General features: G+C 45.9%; 1 long non-coding RNA gene across 1 annotated transcript, besides 1 other annotated feature; it reads right to left on the bottom strand.

Moving 5' to 3' along the window:
- Positions 1-5660: 5660 nt before the first annotated feature.
- Positions 5661-23693, bottom strand: LOC105370645 (uncharacterized). Its single transcript, XR_944179.4, has 3 exons — positions 22722-23693; positions 20009-20093; positions 5661-6293 (listed from the first exon to the last, which is right to left on the bottom strand). It is a non-coding gene; the product is annotated as an uncharacterized LOC105370645 (long non-coding RNA).
- Positions 10696-11361: an enhancer, noted in NCBI's record as "NANOG hESC enhancer chr14:97142464-97143129 (GRCh37/hg19 assembly coordinates)". NCBI's record gives its function as "activates a minimal SCP1, AML or CMV promoter by ChIP-STARR-seq in primed H9 embryonic stem cells {active_cell/tissue: H9 hESC(primed)}" and the evidence as "EXISTENCE:reporter gene assay evidence [ECO:0000049][PMID:30033119]".
- Positions 23694-24946: the final 1253 nt, after the last annotated feature.

Below are 24946 nucleotides of genomic sequence, written 5' to 3'. Positions count from 1 at the left end.
GTTCATAGCCCTTCCTTCCGATGTGGGTCCCAGTTTAAATCCTCAACTGTGCCTGTCACGGCCCTTTGAAAGGGGCTCCCTTGGCAAACAGTTTTCCTAAAGGTGAGGGTTTCTGCAAATCCTGTGGAAAGCTGGTGAACATACCTGTGTGCCGTGGTGACAGAGGGACTCAAACCAAATACAACACGGCAGTGTCTGCAAGGGATGGGCCCCACCTCGGGGTAGCAAAGCTGGTGTCAGGGAGCCCCAGGCTGGAGATGGGCTTCCTGAGAGCCACCTTCTTCTCTGCTTGGAGAGAAGACAGAGCCACCTTTTGTGGTCCTGAGCAAAATCTGCATACACTCTCCAAGCCTGTTTCTTTCCAGGGCAAATGGGAACAGTAATAATAACTGCTGCTTACCTTGAAAAGTTGGAGGAGGGATCAAGTGGGGTGAGACACAGAGAGCCCTGTGTGGACAATAAAGGGTTACATGGATGTCAGCTGTCCTCCTCAGGGGTACAGGTGCCAGGCTCCAGGTTTTATGGCACAGGACGATGTTGGCCACACTGGAGAGGCTACTCAGGACCTACCTGCCTGGTTCTCTGGATGATGGAGGCCACTGTCTTGGCTTTGGGCCAACTAAAGGTAGACAAGAAACAATACTAGTTGAGAAGGTCCACACTGCCCAAACCATATCAACTCCATGGAGGCGTCAACCCCAGGACGCCAGCCTCCTTACTCAATGGGGTGACAGAAGAGTGAGCTAAGTGGCGCAGCATCCTGGGCAGGACTATGGCAAGCTTCTGCTCTCTGCTAGCTACTGCTCACATCACTGATCCACAAGGCTGGCCTCACTGCACCCTCCAACCCTTCTCCCATGCCACCACACCTAGGGGCCCCTCCAGCTTTTCTCAGAGACCATCCTCCTCTTAGCGAGGCAATGCTCCCTGAACACAGGCAACTCTTTTTTCCCTCTTCTGCAAGTGGCCATGTGGTTAGTAGCAGGGCTCCGACTTTATGTACTTGGGTTAACCCAGTTTCCAAATACTCACAAGCTGTTCTTTCTGTCATCCATTCATCCATACCCCCACCCATCCATCCCAACAATCAACAAACATTTACATAACACCTTTGCTAAACACTGGCTGAACCAGAGGTCAGCAAACGACAGCCCATGGCCAAATCCAGCTTGATAGCTTGATGTTTTTGTAGATAAAGTTTTATTGGAACATAGCTGTGCCCATTGTTTACATTTTGGCTATGGCCGCTTTTACTCTAAAATGGCAGAACTGAGTAGTTGCAAGAGTCCTTATAGCCTACAAAGCTGAAAATATTTACTATCAGAAACATTTACAGAAAAGGTTTTGTGGATTCTTGGGCTGGTCACTTGGCAGGGTGGGGAGGGCCCCAATAGCAGAGGAAGGAGATACAAAGCAGGATCAAATTTGGGTCCTGCCCACAAGGAGCTTACAGTTGCAAGAAATAAGTTGGGGGTGCTATTAGACTTTTACAGGTCAGGCTGTCTTCAGGGACAATCAGAGAAAGTGCTAAGAGAGCACAAAGGCAGAAAGTCCAGGTCCACAGGGGAACTCAGGAAGTGTCTGGAGGCTGGGTCTTGCAAGATGGGTTGGCTCAGCCACATGCCTATGAAGAGGTGAGGGAAGAGCATTCACAAGGAAGTGGCTCTGTGGACAAGGGTGCCAGTGCAGGAACCGGGTTGTGCACCTAGGAAGCAGGTGCTTCAGTTAGTTGTGAAGGTGAGATGCCTGACAAGGAGGATCGAGAGAAACAGTGCAAGGAGAGGTTGGGTCAGGGTACTGGAGGGTCTTGAATGCCAGGATAAGGAATTTGGAGCTTATTCTCTAGATGCAGAAAGTTTTTAAAAGTTTTTGAGCTGGAGAATGAATGGGGAAGCTGTGCTTTGGGACCATTAAAAAGGCAGCCAGGTGTAGTATAGACTAGAGATTGATATTTCCAAGAGAAATTACACCTTAAGATTTATTCTCCCTAACCTAGTCAAATGAATTAATCTATAAGAAGAATTTTGTAAGCTATAAAATGTATGGGATTATTGTGATTATTTATTATAAGAATAATGCTAACCCAGGTAAGATTTAGACCTTTCTGTTCAGATTCATTTCCATGTTTCAATCACTTTAACAATTCCCCCATGCTGGGTTGTATTTTGACTTCCCCAGACTGTAATTATAGCCCATTTCATATTGGGCGTGACGCAATTCAACAGTAACGTCCTAAGCCTTCATTTCCAAGGCAGTTATTTTTGGTACGACACAGAACATGTCATGTCATCGTAATATCACACAACAAAGGGTTGAACTCCATCCAGGACAGAACACTTCCCACCAATGGGCCCCGGACATACCCTTCCCATGGCCTTGGCCCAGAGGAGGGCTGACTCTGTTGTAATAGGACCATCACCAAAGGGCCAAGTTTTCAAAAAGGATAAAGAGCCACAGGGCCATGCAGTTCCCAGGCAGCATGAGGAAGAAATGAATCCTTCAAGGCTGGGCATGGGAGATCTCTACTAAGAATAAATCCACATGCGATTGGTTAAAAATGTGACAGATGCACTTTGTTTTAAAAAGTTAAGCTAAAAATCTTAAAATCAAGCTTGTTTTTAATAAAGTTAATAAAATTTAAATTATAACAGCAGCTGTGCATTAATTCTTAGAATGAATAAGTGGTAAATTGGTGAGGGGGCATGATTTTTCCAACAAAATTGCAAGACAACAGGTTATAACATCCTTCATTCCATGTTTGGCCTCCCAGTATAGTAATAAAATCTATTTTTTAAAAAATCAAGGATTTAATCCATTGTCTCAAAGGCTTTTCTCTATCCGTTGATATGAAATCATTCAAAACATCAATCAGATCATCACTCATGATGGTAATTAAGCACTAACTCTTCTTTTTTTTTACATTTCTGTTTTTCTTTTTTTTTTTAATTTTTATTATACTTTAAGCACTAACTCTTCTAAGGTGGGTCTTCCTTTTGCCAATGGCTTTTGCAGTAGTTCAACCAGTTCTCTAATATCACTTGCAATGACTTCAAGAAATCCTTCACCATTGGCCAGATGCATAACTTCCCTTTGTAAATGGTTTGCCACCGCTCTCATCCTATTCATTCCCAGACTGAGAGACAGCGTCAATGTGGTGGGCAGAAGAGAGGTCATAGTTTTGCAAAAGGAAGGAGCCTCCGGGAGGTGGGGGCCAGAAAACCTCCATCCTGAGGCCAGGAGCTTCTACAGCTTCAGTAGGGCCCTGAAACTGCCCAGCCATCTCTGCCGTGGCCCTGCTCCTCTCCTTACACATTCCCAGAGTCAGCTGCACTTGGAACCCTCTCTACACTCTTTGGAGGCGTGGCCTCCTCTGCTCACCCTCTGGGAATGACTCACCCACTACTCTGCAGGGAAAACAGAGGCCTGAGATTGAACATCTGCCACCTCTTGCCCCCACACCTACAGGCTCAGGGGTGTCAGCCACAGACCTCGCCCACTTTCCTCGAGCCCTCAGGGGGAGGTCCCATCCTTCTGGATGAGCTTCATCTCTCCCTGTCTTCTGGGTTCAAACCCCTTCCTATCAGTGCCTGGAAGCCACCTGTCATTTTCTTACCAGTCTTCCTTCCTTCCCTGCCTTCACTGTGGCTTCCTTAGGAGTGGAGTCAACTTCCCACCCCATTGGCTGTGGACTTGACCAGGTGACTTTGCTGTAGCCAATGAAACGTGGGTGGAAGGATGGTATGACAGTTCTTGGTGGGGCGTTAAGGAGCACAGCGTGACCTGGTGCTCTTGTGCTGCTGCCATTTGCAAGGAAAAGGCATGTCCAAGGTGGTCATTGCATTCTCAGCCCCAATCCTGGGACAAGAGTGGATCTGAACTGAAGGCCATAAGACCCACAGAGAGAAGGAAATGCTTATTTAGAAAACCCTGGAGATTTGGATTTGCTGCACATCATTATTGCTACAAAACCAATACACCCGCTTCTTCTCCACAAACTGTGAACACATATAAATTTCTAAGTTTATCTTAACAAAATTCTATGGGTACACAAGTGAAGGGTGTAGTCAACCCTACCAGAGAATAAGAAAGAGGATCCAGATTATTTTGTTTTTGGGGAGGGAGACTTGTATGCTTTTTATTCTCTATCCCAAGAGGGAGTCTTGCATGGTAGTAATGAGTGTGGATTTTGGAGCCGGTTGGCCTCAATCCTGGATCTATTACCATCTGACTGTATAACTTTGGGCAAGTTACTCAACCTTTCTGTTTTTTGCATCTGTGAAAATGAAATGTCAATAATAATATCACCTTCATAGCAAGGTCATGGGAAGAATTAAGTGAGCTAATATATGGCACTTACAGTCGAGCCTGGCATAAAGTAAGATGTGTTCAATCAAGGTGATCATTATTATTATGTGACTCTCCTCTCCTGCTGGCTGTGAACTCACACCCATCTCTGTAGCCCTGTGGTCTAAACACACAGCCTGTTACATAATAGGTGCTTCGTGAATGCCTCTCAAAATACCTGCAACCCACCTACCATTTCTCAGACGTCCCTAACTCAAGCAACAAAAGCCTGTGCTTCTTGGAGAGGCCTCCGGGGACTCACAGTACACAAACTCCCACTGTGTCTCTTTTAAAGGGATTGCCTAATTAGGTCAGGCCCACCAGGAGAGTCTTCCTTTTGAACCATTTACAGCCAGCGGATTAGAGACCTTAACTACATCTGCAACATCCCTTCATCTTTACATATAAGTAACCTAATCATGGCAGGTTACTAGCCTAACCAACTAACTAACCTATGAGTAACTTAATCATGGCAGTGACATCTATAAAAGGTATGTAAATGGCTTATTCACAGGTCCCACCCACACTCAAGGAAACGAGATGCAGGGTGTGTGTACCATCTTAGAATTCCACCTACCACACCACACTAGAGATTAAAACTTCCTTTGCTGGGGAGAGAGTAGGGCAGGAGGGAATTAAGAGGGTTGATGGTGGTAGGTGCCCAAGAAGGGAACACGAACCCTAGCAGCCCTGCCTCTAAAACCTGGCTGAGGCTCACAGGAGGCACAGTGGAGATTGAGAAGAAACTCAGAAGTAATGGGGCAGGACTTGGGAGCAATAGGGTCTGTCCCTCTTTTTCTGGATGATGATGGGGGAGAGGCAAGGTGCACTAAGTCTGGAGAAAGAACATTAAGGTATAAATGGCTACACAGGGTATTAGGCAGAGAGGACCTGAGACAGTCTCTTCTATGTTCTAGAAGCCTCAGAGTGGCCAGGACAAGAGTTGGCCTCTGCCCCTCCCCCTGAGAGGGCCTGCGGAAGTGACTTCCATACAGTCTGATGTGGAAAGGCGTTAAGGTCAGGATGAGCGATGGCTCAGCTGCACATCAGCAGGTCAAAGCTTGGAGACCAGAGAAGATGATGCACATCTCAGCCAGTGGCATAATGGATGGCTAATGACTGAGCAATAGACGCTGTGCTTCCTGGCCTCATTCCACGCATTATGCAAGGCTCTGGGACATAGTTAGAACCCTGGAGAGAGGCGGGAAAGAGCTGCAGTGAGGTCGCATAGAATCACAACTGGGTGAACATCAGTCAGTGGAATGGGATTTGGATTAGTTTCCAAAGACTGCCCTAACCAATGACCACAAACTGGGTGGCTTAAAACAACGGAAGTTTATTTTCTTAGAGCTCCAGAGACCAGGAGACTAAAATCAAGGTGTTGGAAAAATTGGTTCCTCTTGGAGGTTCTGAGGGTAAATATGCTCCATGCCTCACTCCTGCCTGCTGGGGGCTAACCTTGACTTGCAGATGCATCGCCCCAATCTCTGCCTCAGGCTTCACATCATCTCTTCTCTGTTTCTCTCCGCATCTCCTCCTTTTCTGTCTAAGAACACTCATCATTGGATTCAAGGCCCACCCTAAATCCAAGATGATTTCAAGTCTAGATCCATAATTTCAATACATCTGCAATAATGCTATTTTAAAATAAAGTCACATTCTCGCGTACTGGGGATGAGGACTTAGACATAGTTCTTGGCAGGAACATAATTCAGCCCACTACAGGGTTCAAAATAGAAATTAAGGTAACATCAGCAGCCGTAACACATAAACCCCCAAATCTCAGCGACTGTACGTATCAGAAGTTGATTCCTTACTTATGTAACCACCAGTGCCTATATTCCTGGTCAGCAGGAGGTGGGGCTCTACTCCACACAGTAGCTCAGGGACTCAGGCCCTGCCATCTTCAGCCTGCAGCTTCCAAGATCATCTTAGGCCTTGATAGCCACCTGGAAGTTGTTCAAGAGACAGGGAGAAGAATGAGGGAGAAAAGATTGGGTAGAGAAGACACATCTGTTTCTTACCCACAACCTAGCAATGACATTGCTGAGAAGTAGTCGGTGACCCCACCTAGATGCTGGGGGCCAGGGGCTCGCCTGGCTGGACAGCCATTCCCAGACATTCCTGAAGGGATTCATGAATCCCTGGTGAATAGCTGGCCATTTATGCCACAGCTAGCAATGAGAAAATGAGTAAAATTTCTTACACACATAAGCTAATGGTCTGAGTTTTGTGCCCATTACACAACTGTAACAAATGTATTTTCCAGGCCACACCCTCTGGGGACACATTTAGGTCCTGTTTTATTCTGTTTGGGCTGCTATAACACACGATAAACTGAGTCACTTTTAAACAACAGCTTATTATTTTTCACAATTTATTGCACTCAGTTCTGGAAGCAGGGAAGTCCAAAATCAAGGTGCTAGCAGACTCAGCGTCTGGTGAGGGCCTACTTTCTGGTTCACAGAAAGCACCGGTGGAAGGCCAGCCACAGTGGCTCACACCTGTAATTCCAGCATTTGGGGAGGCTGAGGTGGGCCAATCATTTGAGGCCAGGAGTTCAAGACCAGCCTTGCCAACATGGTGAAACCCCATCTCTATGAAAAATACAAAAAAATTAGCTGGGCATGGTGGCATGCACCTGTAGTCCCAGCTACGTGGGAGGCTGAGGCAGGAGAATTGCTTGAACTCAGGAAACAGAGGTTGTAGTCAGCTGAGATTGCACCACTGCACTCCAGCTTGGGCAACAGAGCAAGACTCCATCTCAAAAATAAAAAAAAATTTAAAAAAAAAGAAAGCAAGCACTGGTGGAAAGGGTGAGGTAGCACTCTGGGGACTCTTTTATAAGGGCACTGATCCCATTCATGAGGGCTCCACCCTCATGACCTAATCACCTCCCAAAGGCCCCACCTCCTAATACTATCTCCTTGGGTGTTGAGTTTCAACACAGGACAAACATCAGACCATAGCAGACCCTAAACTGGAGCCAATTAGTTATTTTGCTTGCTCCTGAAGGCTCCAGTTTCTGGCAGCACTGCATTTCCCTCTGAGTACTTCCCCTCTGCTCAAAGTGGGAAGGGTGCACCTCAGCTCTCCATACTTCCCCCCCAGGCCTCCACTTGTCAGGCCCCTGTGGGTTTGCCTCAGCCATATCTAACTCCTCCAGGAGCACTGTACCACCTCAGTTGCCCAGAGAATCCACCGCTTTTGCCAGGGTCCAGGGAGAGTCAACCCCTAATGCAAAATGACCTTCCTTACCTGCTACATGCCTGGATCATTTTCACTGCTGTAGGTGTCCCAAGCCAGGGCTCAGCTCCTTCTCCCTGGGCCTTTTCTCCCAGCTGGAGCTCATGTCAGCCCCAAAGACCTCCACCCCAAGTCTGTCTGAGGGCCTGCTTCCAACACAGGGTCAGCCCTCCTTCATTCTTCTCTAGGAAGCCCCCTTTCCCCTCCTCCAGCCAGATCTTCCCAACTCCAATAGCATTTCCTGCCCTCACTTGAGCTGTGTGTTCTTCTGGAAAGAAGAAGTTTGCTACTTAAAAATGCCATTGAAGACATACAGCCACCCTTGCATATGTTTCCAAAAAATATAGGTCACTTGGCAGGGATATGTGACAATTATGGTCAGATGTTGGTTTTTAATTCTGTGAAAAAATCAGGAAGGAGGGTGTTCTAGAGGGAAATGGAGGAAGAAACTACCAATACAGACACCATCACAGCAGTGTTCCTCTTTCTCTTAAATCACTGCTGACATCCCTGGGGACCCCAGCAGGAGAACAAAGTATACAAGGTACGTCTCTACGCTGGGGCGTCTCACCCTCAGCACGAGTGACATTTGGGGCTGGACAAGGCTTTGTTGTGAGACTGTCCTGTGTGCGGTAGGATGTTTGGCAGCATCTTCAGCCTCCACCCACTAGATGACAGTAGCACCCTCCCCATTGCAAGCTGCAGCAGTCAAAAACACCTCCAAACATTGCCAAATGTCTCCTGGGGGACAAAATCACCCCCAATTGAAAAGCACTGCTCTTAAGCAATAGGACAAACTGTTGTTGAAGAAGCATGCAGAGACTTACAGTTGGGGACAGTGCTGTCCAAATACAATGTGAGCCACAAATGCAAGCCACAGATATAATTTTAAATTTTCTAGTAGTGACATTTTTAAAAGTTTTGAAAATGGTGAAATTAGTTCTAATCATATAGTTTGTTTAACCCAATATGTATTATACAAAATGTTCTTTAACATGTAATCAATATTAAAAGTTACTAATGAATAGTCTTTTTTTTCCTGGTACTTTGTCTTGGAACTCCAGTGAGTGTTTTTTTATCTAAAGCACATCTTAGTTTGGACTAGCCACGTTTCAAGTGCTCAGTAGCTACACAAGGTGAGTGGCCACTGTCTTGGCCAGTGCTGGCTGGGAAGCATGCATGGCTTTATGATAAAACCATACACATTAGAATCAAGCAAGCGGTAGCCTCAAGTTCCAGCTCACAAGCTATGTGACCCTGAGCAAGTAAGTCTCTCGGATCCTTGACTTCTCTATCTGTAAAATGTGACAGTGATACATTCTGCATAGGGTCTATGTAAGTCCATTCTCACATTGCTATAAAGAACTACCTGAGACTGGGTAATTTATAAAGAAAGCAAGTTTAATTGGCTCATGGTTCTGGAAGCTGTACAGGAAGCATGGCTGGGGAGGCCTCAGGAAACTTACAATCATGGTGGAAGGCAAAGAGGAAGGAGGCACGTCTTACATGCCTGGAGCAGAAAGAAGAGAGAGGGAAGGTGCCACACACTGTAAAACAACCAGATCTCATGAGAACTCACTCACTATCATGAGAACAGCATGGAGGAAATCTGCCCCCATGATCCAATCCCCTCCCACCACGTCCCTCCTCCAACACTGGGGATTACAATTTGACATAAGATTTGGGCAGGGGTGCAAATTCAAACCATATCAGGGTCATTGTGAGGATTACGAAGAAGAAGAGAGGTTTGAAGCACCCTCAAAACAAGCAGAGCATAGTGGTCCCCCTTTAGGGGTTAGTCTCCTTCCTCTGATGAGCAGTTCCCTCCTGAGCAATGGGTAAGTACGCCTCAAGGTGGCCACCACAGGGAGTCCATAATGCCCCCACTGACCTGCTTTGCTCTCCCTCCCTGGAAACAGCATATCCCCAAAGGTCTCAGCCCCACTAAATCTCCTCTTCCAGGCAGCAAGATTCATCTGTGCCATGTGTTTGACCCTTTATTTGTTAATAAAAGTGCTTTTCCTAGAATGCAGTCAAAAGGGGGAGTGGGGAGTAATAACATGTGTTTGGTGTCTCCGATATTAATAGCACCAAGTGTCACATGCTATGACAGCGATGAAAGTGGGTATGGACTCGGGGCCCCCTCTTTTCTGGGAGGCAAAGCTCCCCCTCGCAAACAGAAAATAAACACAGCCCTGGTGGAGCACAAATGCCAATAACTGTGAGATTTTGATTAAATAATAGATATGTGTTCAGAAGTACTTCTTTAGAGTATGTGATTAAGAAAGATAACTAGACATTCTTACAGCCCTAATGATAATAATTACCACAACATATAAAGTGCAGAATATGACACCAGAAAGGCCATTATTAACCTTTCCCAGGGTTATTTTTTGGGGTGTATTTTTGACACCATGGACACCAGCATTCAGAAACTAAATAAAACTGTAGCTGAGGCAATTACCCTCAGCCATTGCCCTGATCCAGCCTGGGATCAGGACAAATAAAGGGGGATGAGAAGGGGAGAGAGAGAAAGAGACAGTGTGCTGGGGGCATAAAAAGTCTCTTATACAAAACAGATGCTTGTTTAATATCGAACATCTGGCCAGTCTTATAAAGCTTTGTATTAACATTTCTGCAACTGTCAGTAATTCAGAAAACTGACAGAGCTTCCCTGTTTAAATTTTTGCTATAAATAACAACCTTAGATATTTTTTTTCTGCTTGCATGCAATTTGGGTCCCTGACATCTGATACCCAACTGCTCAGCACTTCCTTGCCTGACCTGAGGGTGCAGAGGGGTGGCAGCTGCTCTGGAATCTCACTGCCCTGCACTTCCTCAAGAGCTGCCCAGATCTCCCCATCCTGGCTTCACAATACCTGGCCTTAATGCCACTGAGCTTTCCTCTACTGTACACCAAGTGCATCAGTCAGCTTTTGCTGCATAACAAACTATCCCAAAATTGCATGGCTTCAAAAAGTGACCATATATTTTGCTTATGACTCCAGGTGTGGGCTATTTGGACTGGGCTTTGCTTGTTGGGTCTTCTGGTCTTGACTGGGTTCATTCATTCTATTGTAGTCAGCTTCCAGATTGGCTCAGGTTTGGGTGGTCTGTGTTGGTCTAAGCAGCCTCTAGTTCATCTCTGCTTTATATGCTCTCATCCTCCAGCAGGCCAGGCTGAGCACATTCACACAATGCAGGCAGGAGTCCAAGAGAGCAAGCAGTAGCATGCAGGGTCTTTTGGGTGGAGGTTCAGAACTGGCATGCTATCACTTCTGCTTCACTCTACTGATGAAAGCAAGTCACAAAACCAGATTCATGGGGTCAAGAAACAAATGTCACCCACTGAGAGGAGCTACAAAATTGGATTGCAAGGATACAGGCTGAAGAACAATTGTGGCCATTTTTGCAAACAAGATCTCACCTCTGTTACAGTTTCTCAACCATTCTCCAATGACCCTCTGAGTCAGGCAGAGAAGGTATTGTTGTTATCACAACTTTAAAGCTAAGGAACTGTAGGAGGCTAAGTGATTCATCTAGAGTTGCATGGCCTCTTGGAGAGCAAGAATTTCCCCAGATGCCATGAATCAAAAGCAAAGGCAACAAGATGCCTGGAGAAGATAAACAGCAGGAAACATTTCCAAGTGGGCAGTGAAGAAGATTCTGGAAGATGGAGTTTCCCACCAGCTGTAGCTGCTGACCATGGTCAGGGCAGACTTTCTGGCTGATACAGTAGTCAGCCTGATATGAGAGTGATTTGAGTGCATCAAAAGGTGTATTTATTATTTCACAAATTTGTTTCTCCCACCTTCTTATTCCATAAAGGAATAAGGCATGTAACAAAACTATATTCAAATGTTAACTACATTCAAAAAATAAATAAGAGAGGATGTCAGTGAAAATAGAAGAAGCAGCCACAAAGCAAATCTTACATTATCAAAGGCTGTAAAAAGACACCTGGAGCCTCCCTTCCTAGCCTCCTAGCCTCCCTTCTGAGCTCTCTGCTGGCCCTTTGGTGGGTGAGACCCTCAGAGGAGAACCTTGTAACCCATGGGTAGCTGCTCACCAGGGGGATCCAAGGTCAGCCCCTCAAGAATCAGATTCTCTCTGTAGATGAACTGGGACAATCCAACTGGGCTCTAATAGATCTGATACACCTCTGATCTCTTGCCTGATAATGACTGGCTGCCAGCCATTCCTCTTGGCTGTGGTTGATGTCCCCTAAAAATCCTATCTCTGCATAATGGAACTTTCCAAACCCAGCCTCTGGCTGCCCATTCCAGGATATTTGAACTTCTAGTGATTGGGCTTTCTGTTACATTTTGTCAATAGAGTGTTCAGTGCCATACCAGGTGTTGCCCTTGGTAGTCATTGTGCCAACACCCGATTGGGGTGTGATTAATTCCTCCCCAGAAACCACTCATCCTTGCCTTGGCCCAGTGTTTAGAAGGTCCACAGCACTAATTCCTCTGACTTGAGGCCCCCAAGGCCCAAGTTGAAGTGTATACTTAGGGAGGATGAGGATCTACTAACCTACTAACATATCAGCTGGACAGAGTTCAGCACAGTGGTTCTCAACCAGGAACCAGGCAGCCCCAATAGCTGGCATTTAGAAATGGTAGGAGGTCATTTTTCATGGTTGCAATAATGGGGATGGCAAAAGCTATTGGCATTTAGCAGGTGGGAGTTTGGGATACTTAACATGATGCAGTCCCACCTGACACAGAATAGTTGCAACTAAAACATCAAAAGCAATCTCATTTTTCTGCTGTTGGTTTACAGGGGTCTCCAAGGAATGGGACCTAAGACCTGCAATCTTTGAGGAGAAAATAATGCATCACATTTGCCTGACTGCGTTGTTTACAAAGTTATACATCTTTTTTGTCATTTAATCCTCAAAATCACCTTGTGAAATGCAGCAAATCTGATTCTCTGTTACACAGACAAGGAAACTGAGACTCAGGGATGTTCACTGACATGCTCAGATGCATCTGTTCAGATCCTTCAAGAAGCAGATGGCAAGAGGGATGAAGGGGAGACAAAGGAGGAGTGGGAGGGGAGAGCCTTTAGACAGTGGTGCACTGCACTCCAGCCTGGGCAACAGAGTGAGACTTTGTCTAAAAATAAAAAATGAATAAATAAACAAATAATAGATTGATTCCTTTCATTATAAATCATATCCAGGGCGCCAAAAACTTAGAAAACAGAGAAAATGTATTGAACAGCATGACTCCACCAGGTCCGATACCTGGGAAAGGACAGAGGGAAGGAAGGGGGATTGGGTAGGAAGAGACTCCAACCACAGGGAGCTCTGAGCAAGCATTGGTCACTCTGATGGGTAACCCCAGAGCAAAAACTGCCTGTAAGAGGAGTCCTGGTCAGGCAGAAATGGTCCAGTTCAATCACCCCACCATGACCATGGAAGGCCATGATCTCAGGTAAGTGCTACCTAGGACTGGAAGACGTAGCAGCTGAAGGCTCTCTACCTATGACTCTCTTTCAGCAGGGTCTCTGGAGGGAGACCTGGGCCGCCGCTCCATAGCTATCACATCACACAAATAGGATGCAGTGGAGTCAGGACTCAAGGCCCACTAGACAGCCAACTCAAATGCAGATGAAGAAGAACAAAGGGACCTTGGAGCATGAGGGATGGGAGGGGGCACAGCCCAAGTGGAGCCTGAGGAAGTTCTTGAGTGGGTAGAATGAAAAGCCAAAGAGAGAGAGAGGCTCTGATATCAAATATCAGCTGCTGGGACCCATCTCAAAAAAAATCAGCCAAAGCTAGAACATGCTGGAAAGGCTGGGCCAGTTGCTGGGCTCTGTGTTCATGTGATAGGATGATGAGAAGGTCCAATTAGCCAAAGCTCTGCCAACGCAGAACCCACAGTGCCTTACTGAAGGAGGAGACAGGAAAACAAGCAAATAAAGAAAGGATTTGGGGGCTGAGAGTGTCTGCCTTCCAGGCTGGCATTTTCTAGCAACTGTCTCTGCAAAGGGCCCCCCGCTGGTGTCTCCCAGCTGAGTGCCATGTCACGCGGTGCCCTGGCATTGGAGATGCTATAATGGGGTCTTGGTGTCACAGGGAGAGGAAGCCAGTGATGCAGAACCTCTGAGTCACTCTGGAACCAGAGATAAAATTAGATGGCTGAAGCTTTAAGGGACCTTAGGCATCATCTAGTGCATGACCTCCTCACCTGCGTTTTTCAGAGGAGGAAACTGAGGCCCAGAGAGGCCAAGAGATTTCCTCTATACCAGGGCTTCTTAACGCTCAGCCCTGCACTACTGACATTTGAGGCCATACACGTTTTTTTTTGGTGGGGGAGGGCAGGCAGGGGAGAAGGGGAGGGGTTGTCCTGTGTATTACAGGTTGTGGAGCAGCATCCACAGCCTCTACCCACTAGATCCCAGGAACATTTTCCCAGTCACACAACCAAAAATATCTCTAGACACAAATGGCACTGTGAAATGTCCCCCTGCAAGCTACAACTACCCCCAGTTGAGAACTACAGCTCCAGGCCAAACATCCAGAGTGAGACCTCCAACTGGCCTCCTGCCTCACCAGCCACAGCCCACCTCCAACATCACAACGGTCTGAGAGGACAAAACCAGTGTCTGCCCTTCGATGGTGGGAATTTGAAAAGAAAAATAGGGAGAATTTTGAATTCCACTGAAACGCCCTGGCTGCAGCAGAGAGGCAGCTAGAAACCTAACATTTGACCAATGTGTAACCAGAAAGAACTGCACTTTTGAAAAAATAGGCCAAGAACAGTGGCTCACGCCTATAATCCCAGCACTTTGGGAGTCCAAGTCAGGTAGATCACCTGAAGTCAGGAGTTCAAGACCAGCCTGGCCAACATGGTGAAACCCTGTCTCTACTAAAAATACAAAAATTATACCCAAAGGATTATAAATCATTCTACTATAAAGACACATGCACACATATGTTTATTGCAGCACTGTTCACAATAGCTAAGACTTGGAATCAACCAAAATGCCCATCAATGATAGACTGGATAAAGAAAATGTGGCACATATACACCATAGAATACTATGCAGCCATAAAAAAGGATGAGTTCATGTCCTTTGCAGGGACATGGATGAAGCTGGAAACCATCATTCTCAGCAAACTAACACAAGAACAGAGAACCAAACACCACATGTTCTCACTCATAAGTGGGAGCTGAACAATGAGAACACATGGACACAGGAAGGGGAACATCACACACCGGGGCCTGTTGGGGAGTGTGGGGCTAGGAGAGGGATACATTAGGAGAAATACCTAATGTAGATGATGGGTTGGTGGGTGCAGCAAACCACCATGGCACTTGCATACCTATGTAACAAACCTGCACGTTCTGCACGTGTACCCGAGAACTTAAAGTATAATTTAAAAAATACAAAAATTAGCCAGGTGTGGTGGCACACACCTGTAATCCCAGCTACTCAGGAGGCTGAGGCAGGAGAATTGCTTGAACCCAGGAGGCAGAGGTTGCCATGAGCCAAGATGGCGCCACTGCACTACAACCTGGGTGACAGTGTGAGACTCTGTCTCAAAAATAAATAAATAACAGATTGATTCCTTTCATTATAAGTCATATCCAAAACACCAAAAACTTAGAAAACAGAGAAAATGAATTGAATGGCATGACTCCACCATCTCTTTCAATGCATTTCCAAATCTCTTTGATTTCCTAGAACTACTTGGGATGCCTCTGGGTCATCATTGGATATAAAGAAGTACAATGGGAAATAACCCTGTGGGTTTCCTTCCTCCACTTTGATTGGGCTGTTTGGAGGGCACTCGAGCCTACAAATGTAAAGACTTGTTTGGCAGCCAGCAGGTCAGCGGGCTCCACTACTCTGACCTGCTGGGGCTCACCTGTGCTGGGATCAGTTGGCAATGCCTCATATTTGTATATCACTGATCACCTTTCAAAGTGCCTTACCTAATGTTTTGAGTATTTTTGTTGTTATTTTTATCGTAACAACCTGTAAAGTAGTCTGGGATGACATTCTTAGATGAAGAAATGGAAGTTCAGAGACATAGAGTCACCTGCCCAAAATCACAGTGACCTAGAAGTCAAACAGGATCAGGAACTTAGATCTTCTGGTCGCTAGAGAGTGATGCAGGATAGAAGAGCAAGGGTTTTGGACTCAAGGTGTGCATGCCCATGCTGCTCTGGCCCCTATTTGCAATGAACCATGTTTAAGCCTCAGTTTACCTATTAGTGAATGTGGAGGATGAGGATATAATGCTGCTTCATGGAGCTGTTGGGATAATTTTATGAGGTAACATATATGGGATGTACAGGGAAGGACTTCAGAGTTTGCCTGATATGATTGGCATTTATTTGGCATGACTTTCTGAGCGAATGAGTGATTACCACCTCTATAAATTATGTAGGCGACTACAATTCAGTTCTAGAATAAAGAGGGCAGGCTTCTGCCTCCATGGGTGATGGACTGAAGGAGGCACTGCCTTTTTTGCCACGAGGTGTCACCAGCATTGGTTCAAGGCAAAAAGCACCTCTGATCTGAGAGCACCAGATTGTCATGACTGCTGAGCAAACCCTGTTGCTCTTCATCACAAAGATCCCAATCCACTGAGATGCTAGGACAGAGGGTACTGGCAGGGGCTGCATTTTCAGTGACTTTGAAATACTGCTGCAGCTTTGGAGGGAAAGGGGTCCCCATGAGCTCAAGGAGTACACTGGAAAAAGCCCCAAATGCATCTGAAGTCCTATCAGCCTTTTGGTTGTGGAATTTCAGGCGTCATTTTCAAGTCTGCCCTATATGGTTGTGCACGTGGCTTACTGCACAAGGCAGTGATTAGAGGTTGAAATCTAGTCTGCACTTTGCTTGCCAAGCCATGCACCTTGGAACAGGGCTACATCAGCCTAGAGAAAAGGGCGCATTTTCCTTGTTCTCACAAAGACATTCCATGGGCCAGTGGCAGCCCTGGTCTATTGCCTGTTTAGAACTGCAGTTTTTCTCTGTATGAAATAAGAGATTTTTAGGGGTCTGTCCTTAGAAATTCTAGATCCCTCTCCTTCCCATGTACCATTACTTCTTTTCCCTTCCTTCCTATTCAGGGAAAAAAAAAAGGCTTTTGGTTTTTCACTCTGAGCTTGCAGAAGAGAAGATGGAGAGAGATGGAGAGTGTAGGCAGAGCCTACAGGTATTTAGAGGATGAATATAGCAGGACTTTCCAGGGCCTGGGTGTGAGGGGGGCGGTGGGGGAGCTAACCCTCAGGCTTGAACTCACAGTGGGTGGAGGAGCAGGAGGCCAAGTTTGGGAATGGGGTGTGGTATGGAATGAGCTTATCCTAGGCAAGTGGGTTCATGGACCTTCCAGGAGAGATGCTCAGCCTGCACAGGTTTGAAACTCAGAAAATCAGCCCGGACTAGAGGCACAAATTGGAGTCATGGGGCACATGACAGGTGAGCCCATCAGATCTGCACTCATGACTCCAACTGCTGTCAAAGAAGAAAGCTATTTCAAAGCAGGAAAGGACAGGATCCTAGAGCCCACTTCGGCTCCAGCACTTTAGAAGGCTTTGGTGCCAGGTGGGACTTCATGTCACAAAGGTGCAGGGAAAGGCTCCACATCTCTCTACAGACAGAAAATGGCCACAAAGTCTGAGCCGGGTCAGGTCTGTCTCCCCAGGCAGCTGGGCTGTTGGAAAACGAGATCACAGGGATTTGGGTCAAGCTCTGATAAACGTTCCTGTCTGGGACACCTTCTCTGACCTGAATCTATTTTTAGAAACTCATTTTAATGAACAGTATGCAAAACTATGAATTCAGCAGAGTATATTCCCCCTGAGCTCCCTCCATGATGCATTTTAAAAGGAACCACTGGAGAAAGCAACAATGAATGCTCATTAGGACCAGCTGAAACACTCTCAGGCTGTGCTTTCTGTGACCACTAGCTGTCCCTTAATAATATTCACAATAATAACAGCCGCTCCCATGCCTAGAGCACTTTACGGTTTGCAGAATGCATTCATTCACCCCATTGGCTCACTTGATCATCACAACAGCACAGCAAGGTGGTATTATTATCTCACTATATGAATGAAGAAACTGAGGCTAAGTGAGAGAGATTAGCCCACCCAAAGACCACATATATGGAGGTCCTCACGGAAGTGAAGGGAAAGCCAGACTAGATACATACAGACAGGACCAGGGCAACTCTGGTTCTGTAGATAGCCAGGACTATATAGTGTCCCTCACAGGCCATTGTTGCGATGAACCAGCATCAGCCCCTTTTTTAATAATACATGTCTGTCTGTGCTCAAAAATTTCAGGAGAGAATCTCATTGGTTGAGCTTGGGTCATGTGCCCATTATTTGTCTAGAGAAGTAAAGGGCCCTTTGAATGACAGCTCCTTCCAGAATGCAAAGGAGAAGAGGTAATACTCCAGAAGGCAGCTGGGGTACTTTAGAATTAGAAGGAGAAATAGGCCCAAGAAGCAGAGGAAGCATCCAATATTCACTCCAACCTTTAAAAGCTCTGTGTGGACCAGATTGCTAATGAATGGGGTCCTGTGGATTTCTTCCCTCTGACCTCCATTCTTTCTAGCACTACTTTCAGTTCATCACTGAATGCCTCTGTGAGTAATGCCACCTAACATTTTGGCTGCACATGGCTGTATGTGACTTTGGACCTGTCTTGTCGTCTCTGGGACCCAATTTCCTCATCTACACCACAAAGGCAAACTCCGTGTTTGCAAATGCAAGCAAGCCCGGGAGTCCTGCAAACCCAAGGCAGAGACAAGTTCAAAAGGCTAATAACAAATAGACACCAGGAATCTTGTCAGTGCCCCTCTCACCAGCCATCTTTTCCATCTGAAATGACAGCAAGCCCTGGACTTGATTCCCCAGCAGCCTCATGGGAACTTTGTGGCCCGGCTAAAGGATATTCTCCCACCAGCTTTTCCTCTGTAGGTAGAAATTCACAAAGGCTCCTAATCCTTCAGACCTTCAGAACTTGCTTCCCTCCCAGTTTCCTCCTGCCCAGGAGAGGCCCCTGTTTTCCCATCTCTCTTCACTTGCCACATTCCAACTCATCTGTCAAGCCTCAGCTCCAATGCCCTTCTCGTCCCTGACCACCTGCCCCAGCTGAATAAAATCTCCTTGCTTGGAACTGCCCCTGACTCAGTGCCTCATGACTATTCACACCATGTTAGCTTAGTTATTCACGTCTCTTACAAGACTCAGAGCATGCTATAGGCAGTGAGCGTATCTCACTATGTCTGCATTCTCATTGTCTACCATGATGCCCAGCTTGGAACAAGTGCTGAGTGATGGTTTATGGGATAACGAGTGAATGTATGAATGAATGAACTGATGGGGGACGGATTATTTCCTGCAAGTCATGTGGACAGCTGGCAACAGACCTCGCTCTAGATCCCAGTCTTTCCACTCTAAGACAAGGTACATCCAAATGGATTCTTTCATTTCCCCTAATCCATAGATGCCTGTGTTCATTGTGACTGAACCCCAGCTCCACTGGACCTGCACCTCCAGGGTTGCTGCCTCATTAATTCAACCATTTGGCAAACATGAATCCAGTAGCTACTCTATGCCAGGCATCATGCTAAAAGCAGGCAGTCTAATAGCTACGCTTTGCATGCACATCCAAACAGCTTCTGTTTACCCCAGCCAGTAGAAGGCACAGTCACACTCTGAGAGGAAAAGAGGGTAAGGATGGTGGAGAGAGTCTGGAAGAGCCTCTATAGGAAATGGGAGAAGGTACTGGCCATGAATATTGGGAGCTTCCTGAGCAGCATGGGGGACCGTAAGCAATGCAGCATCACGAATCTGTAGGGCAGCAGCTGAAAGGGAGGAGTGGATTCCTGGGAAGATCAATCCAGAGTGGAAGCCGCCAAATGGAACTATGGTCTTGCAAATGACATCAACTGCAGACAACCTAAAAGGAAGATGCTAACCATCACAGGCCTTCTGGTTTTGAGTGGGTAGAAATTCCTAAGCTTCACATATTGTCAAATAATCAGCAGTAGCCAATGGGGACATCACTTTTTAAAAATAATTTTTATGTCACAGAGAGGGTTTGGAGAGGGAAAAAGCAAGTCCACAAATTCCCCACCACATCACCAAAAGAGGATCTGTTGGCTATAACTTGTTCTTGGAGTAGGGAGAGGGTGGGGGTGGGAAAGTCTCGTATATATTCAGTGAACGATTTCTCCCATCTCTGTCAAAAGAGATGTCAAATATATTCAAATGTGCATTCGGCTGTGTTTATGTGTGTTTTTATCAGAATAGGAGACAAGGATTCTTGTCTCCCTAACTTTTAGCAAAGATGTAAAAGGCTGTGGATATGCACACTTCTATGACTTACTTTATCCCTTTATCACATTTTCTTACTCTATCCCTTTATCACATTTTCTTACATTTTGAGGAGAATGGAATTTTTTCCAGGTGAATCTTGGGTTTGCCACCAACCTGCATCATTTCTCCAGACCTCCGTTTCCTTTTCTGTAAAATAAGGGGTACAGAATCAACATTCAGTCCCTCTGAACCCTAATACACCACAAGTCTTTGAGATCAATGGGAAAGAAGAGTCCCGCATGGATGCCTGGGCAACGTCACTTCTCCCAGAGGCATGGAGCAGATGCATCAAATCAAAATATAAATCATCACACCCTGTTATGGGTCTCATACACAGTTTCTTTTAATAAAAGATGCAAATATTTTGCAGTAAATTGATTTCCCAGTTTCATTCTCTTATCTCCATATTTATTACTCATGATTCCTCCACTCCTCACTTGAAGCATAGGGGTAGCAGGGACAAATCCGGAATGTAGAGTTTGCTTGCTTTCCTACAGTTATTATCAGCACAGTGTTATACTCCCAGGAGTAAAAGATACATGTAAATATGACTTCCAGTCTCAATTCAAGCTAAGAACAAAATGCAAGAAAGTCTTCATTGATCTAAATCCACGCACTTAAACTTCTTGGCAAACTTTCATAAAAGTGTGACTTTGCTGAGGAAAATGGTGATGGCTTAAGTTATGACTGCAGGGTATTATTGTTTTCACTTGTTAAAAGCAAATGCAGTATGTCTCAGTCAAGAACTTGGAGAAATAGAAAAATCTAAGAAACTTTTTATTGCTTTACTAGAGGGTTAAAAAAAAAAGATATGGGAAGGATATTCATTGTGCGTCAGATATAAAGCCTGGACCCAAATGTTACAGTCCCAAAACAACGTCCCATTGAAAGTGGGGAAATCCAAATAGGAATTTTGACCATTATTTACATAATCTATAGCAACTCTTAATAAAACCAGCTGTCCTCTCCTTTCTTCTGACACTCTGCCATTTCTGGGAGCTTTTCCCTCTCTGGCCCCAGCAGACTTTTCTTTCTTCCTTGCCCCCTTCTCTTGGCCTCCTTACTCTGGGTCTCTACTCCATCATCGTGCCCTGCTTTTGCAGCCTCTCAGCAGCTTACAGCTCCCAGGGCATCAGCCTTAGTGGGTTCGGTCTTTTCTGACTTCCCCCACTGTAGTGGGTTTGGGGGATTCCATGGCTGATCAGGTAAAAAGATATAACCATGAGGTGGCAGTAGTACACAGTGAACTTTATTTGGGTGCCACTTTGACAGGTTTGCATGCAAGAAAACTTGCTCACGGTATGACGCTGTCCAGGGCCCACCACTCAGAAGGGTAAAGGAGAGCAAAGGGAAGACGGAGGGCAAAAGAACTCCTGGGGGAGAGGGAGACTGGAGAGGAGTCTTACACATGCACGTGGTGTTATTCAGCAGCCCAGAGGGGAGTCTGGGTCAGAGAGCTGCAAATTAGGGATCTTTATATCTACAAGGTTTATCTTATCTATGGTTAGCAGATGTTGGGCACTGATTTGTAGGATATGCAAATAACGCTCACTCTAATTGGCTAAAAATTTGCTTATTGGGGCTGTTTAAAACAATTGGATGTCTACGAGTTTGAGTCTGGTGCAGGAGGGCCTTTGAGCCACCATGTGAATGCAACCCCATTCACATCTGACAGTGCTGGCTGCTGGTTGGGGTGCCTCAGTTCTCAATATGGTGTCTTGTCCTCCACTAGGCTAGACAGCTAGACCAGACTTCTTTGTATGTTGGCAGAAATCCCCCAAGAGGGCAAAGTCAAATGTGCAAGCACTTACAGTCTCCACCTGCATCATATTTGCTGTTGTTTCATTGGCCAAAGAAAGTCATACAGCCTAGACCAGAGTCAAGGCAGGAGGGGACTACACACAGGCATAGAGACCTGGGGGTGGACTCATCTGGAGCCATTACTGTGACATACACAATAGATCACAACCCCTAAGCTTCGGCCGCAATAAATTTTTTTATATGGTATCAACATTCCTGCCTACTGGAAGAAAACATTTTCAACCTGGATGCCAATAAGCAAGTTGCTTTTTCTGATAAAGAGCTCCCTCCAAAGTAGATCCTGGTGAAAGGACTTTGGTGCAGGTAGCTTACTTGGGAGACAATCCTAGTAAGTACAAGCGAAGAAGTAGGGAAAATCAGACAGGGAAAGGAAGAAACCCAACGAGCATGTGCTAAGGAGTTACTATTGGGGGAATCTGGACCTTCATGCTGCTGGGGACCCTCCGAGAAGCCACGTGGGCAGGCCTCAGAATTGCCCATCAGAGGATGGGTAGGCTGGAGCATTCATCCACCACTGGTTGAGCCACTTCTGAGATAATGGGAAAAGCGCATAGACAGAGAACAAGAGAACCCCAGGTACGTGAGGTGGGAAGCTGTCGGTGGGCTGGAAACAGTCCACCCCAGCTGCAAGTGATCCAGTGGCCTCAGGCCATCGATGGCATCTGATAGAGAGAGACAAGAAAGTCCCTCTTATCATCAAAATGCAAGTGCAACCTGCCCAACACACACAGAGAACACAGAGCTCAAGAGGAAGAGAAGATCAAGCGACAGAAAATCTACATCTGGGTAATGCGTAACCATCACTGGGTATTCTACTGAGCAGGCAAACCACCAGCATCGCCAGTGAGAGAATTAGTACAGAAAGTAAACTTTGAGCAATCTAGAGACAAATATGTTTTCCAAAAGAAATAAGGTTCTAATTCCAGAAAGTGGTATCCTTCCTGGTATACTTACTGTGGAACAAAATCTGCTTGGGATACAGAAAGTTCTCACCTATTTCTTGGCAAGAGCAGAACAGAAAGTTAACAGCACAATTCTATGTAGTATGTCTCTGGCTGCTTGTGGATAATGATGCTTAAGTTAACTGTTTGGTTAACTATATGTACCATACTTCATTGATCTAAAAAAGCAACCTCTTCACATTTAACATTTCTGGAATCAGGATGCATCTTACAATTATAGCTGGCAGAATTTTTCCTTCCTTGATTTAAAATATTGTGCATTTTAGTATCTTAGAGATGATAAACTATGGGAGTTCTCATTTCAGAGCATGGATCAACCAGGTTGGAATAATCCTTGTATTGACTGTTTAAATTCTCAAATTAAAAAAACTTTTCCAAACCACAGTTAGGGAGAGATGCTTAAACCAGGCAGTCCCCTCCTGCCTTTTCTGGTAAAAATTCTGAGGTCCCAGCGAGACACACAGAGAAATTCTGCAGTCCTCTCTACAAAACTTTGCTTAAAGCTCCTACTTCTGCGTGGGTTGCACAGGCTATCTTTCATTATTCAAGATGTTAACTTTTCAAAGAATTTTCACATCTATCGGAAAGAGTAAATGCTATGAAATCTAAAAAGAATGCAGGAAAAATGACAGAACTCTTGGGAAGGGGAACTCGATGAAGATTGGGTTCCACTGCACACAACAGAAAGCCCAGAATAATCCAGATTAAACAAGTTAGAGGTTCATTTCTCTCATGTGAAAAAAGGCTGGAAGGAGGTACTTTCAGGCTGTGAGGGAGAGTTCTACAGTCAGCAGGGATCCAAGCTCCTTCTGTCTTTCTTACTCAACCTCCAAGCACATTGTTTCCATCCTCAGAGTGTCCTCATGATCCACCATGACTGCTGGAGCTTCAACCATCTCATCTACATCCCAGACTGGAGGAAAAAAGGAAGGCTGAGAACAAGCAGGACTCCTTCTCCACCTGCTTTCAGAAAGACTCCACAGAAGTTCCGCCCAGCAACTTCCACATGCCTCTCATTGGCTAGAACTCAGTCACATGATGATCTCCCGCCGCAAGGTGGGCTGGGAAGTGTAATCGTCCAGTGGGGTGCCGCGCTGTCCCGTGGTGTAGAGGTTATGTTATTAAGGGAGGAGGAAGGAGCGGGCGTCAGGCAGGCAGCTCGCAATTGAGAGGCCAGGAAGATTTTTCTGGGACTAAAAGAGAAAGTGGGGTGAGGAATTATACTAGCATGGAAGATCTCAGAAAACTGCAGAGGAAACAGTACAGGACCCTTGGCAGAGAGGTGCCTTGGCATCGGTGTTTAGAACTGGGCGGGGAGGCCTAGGGGCGTGGATCCCAGCCCTGAGTCTGACACCACTGGCCTCAGAGGCTACTCAGGAGCCATGCAGGATACATCACAGGCTGCAGAGGGATGGCCGAGGTCCCCATCTCCACGACAGGAGAGGGTCCCCTCTAAGAGAGGGCATAGTGCGCACGCTGCTTTCTTCTCTGGAAGTGAACGGGGGCTCCTGCCTCTGCGGCCAGGCTTCTCGCTCCCATTAGCACACCCCGGGCCTCACGAGGCGAGTGAGCCTGGTTATTAATGGACTTTCCAGACAGGAGTTCCAGAGTGGGCCTTTTTCATGGTCACTGGTGGTCTCTGCGTCCCACCAGCTCCGCGGGAATCCGGGCCACGGCGAAATGTTCTTAAAAGAGGAAAATTACCCAGAAAGCGACTCCCAAAGAAAAGTCAGCTTTAAAAAAGTTTGTGCGTGTTGCAAAGCATTATCGTTAAGTCCTCCAGCTAGGCTAAAAGCCTATCCCATTCCTCCCTGGGATTTCTAGTGAATTAATAATGCCGCTGATGAATATTCAAAAGTAGACAGCTATTGTGCCTCCAAGCACATAATTAATTATTCATTACACATTTTTATTCACTGAATTAAAAAACACAGGGTGCTCTGGGAAATGAAGTGTACTTCACTGCAGGGGCATGAAATTCCACACTGCCCCTTTAAGAACTATTATTCTCTATTTGTGGTTACCAAGCAACATAAATGCTAGGCAATTAGATCATGGGTTGTCCCTGAAGACTGATGGGATAATAAGCAGTAGTTAAGTATTAAGTTGACCCAGTGAAGGTCCCATATGAATAAACCTGGGTAGGACCACAGCTGGTGTCTTTTAAATGAAACTTTTACATTAATACCGTACAAAAGGTGATTCTGTTCCGGGAGC

The sequence above is a fragment of the Homo sapiens genome, chromosome 14 (genome assembly GCF_000001405.40).
Source record: "Homo sapiens chromosome 14, GRCh38.p14 Primary Assembly".
Taxonomy (NCBI): Eukaryota; Metazoa; Chordata; class Mammalia; order Primates; family Hominidae; genus Homo; species Homo sapiens.
Note: the sequence above shows the minus strand (reverse complement) of the source record. Positions and strands in the feature narration are given on the sequence as shown.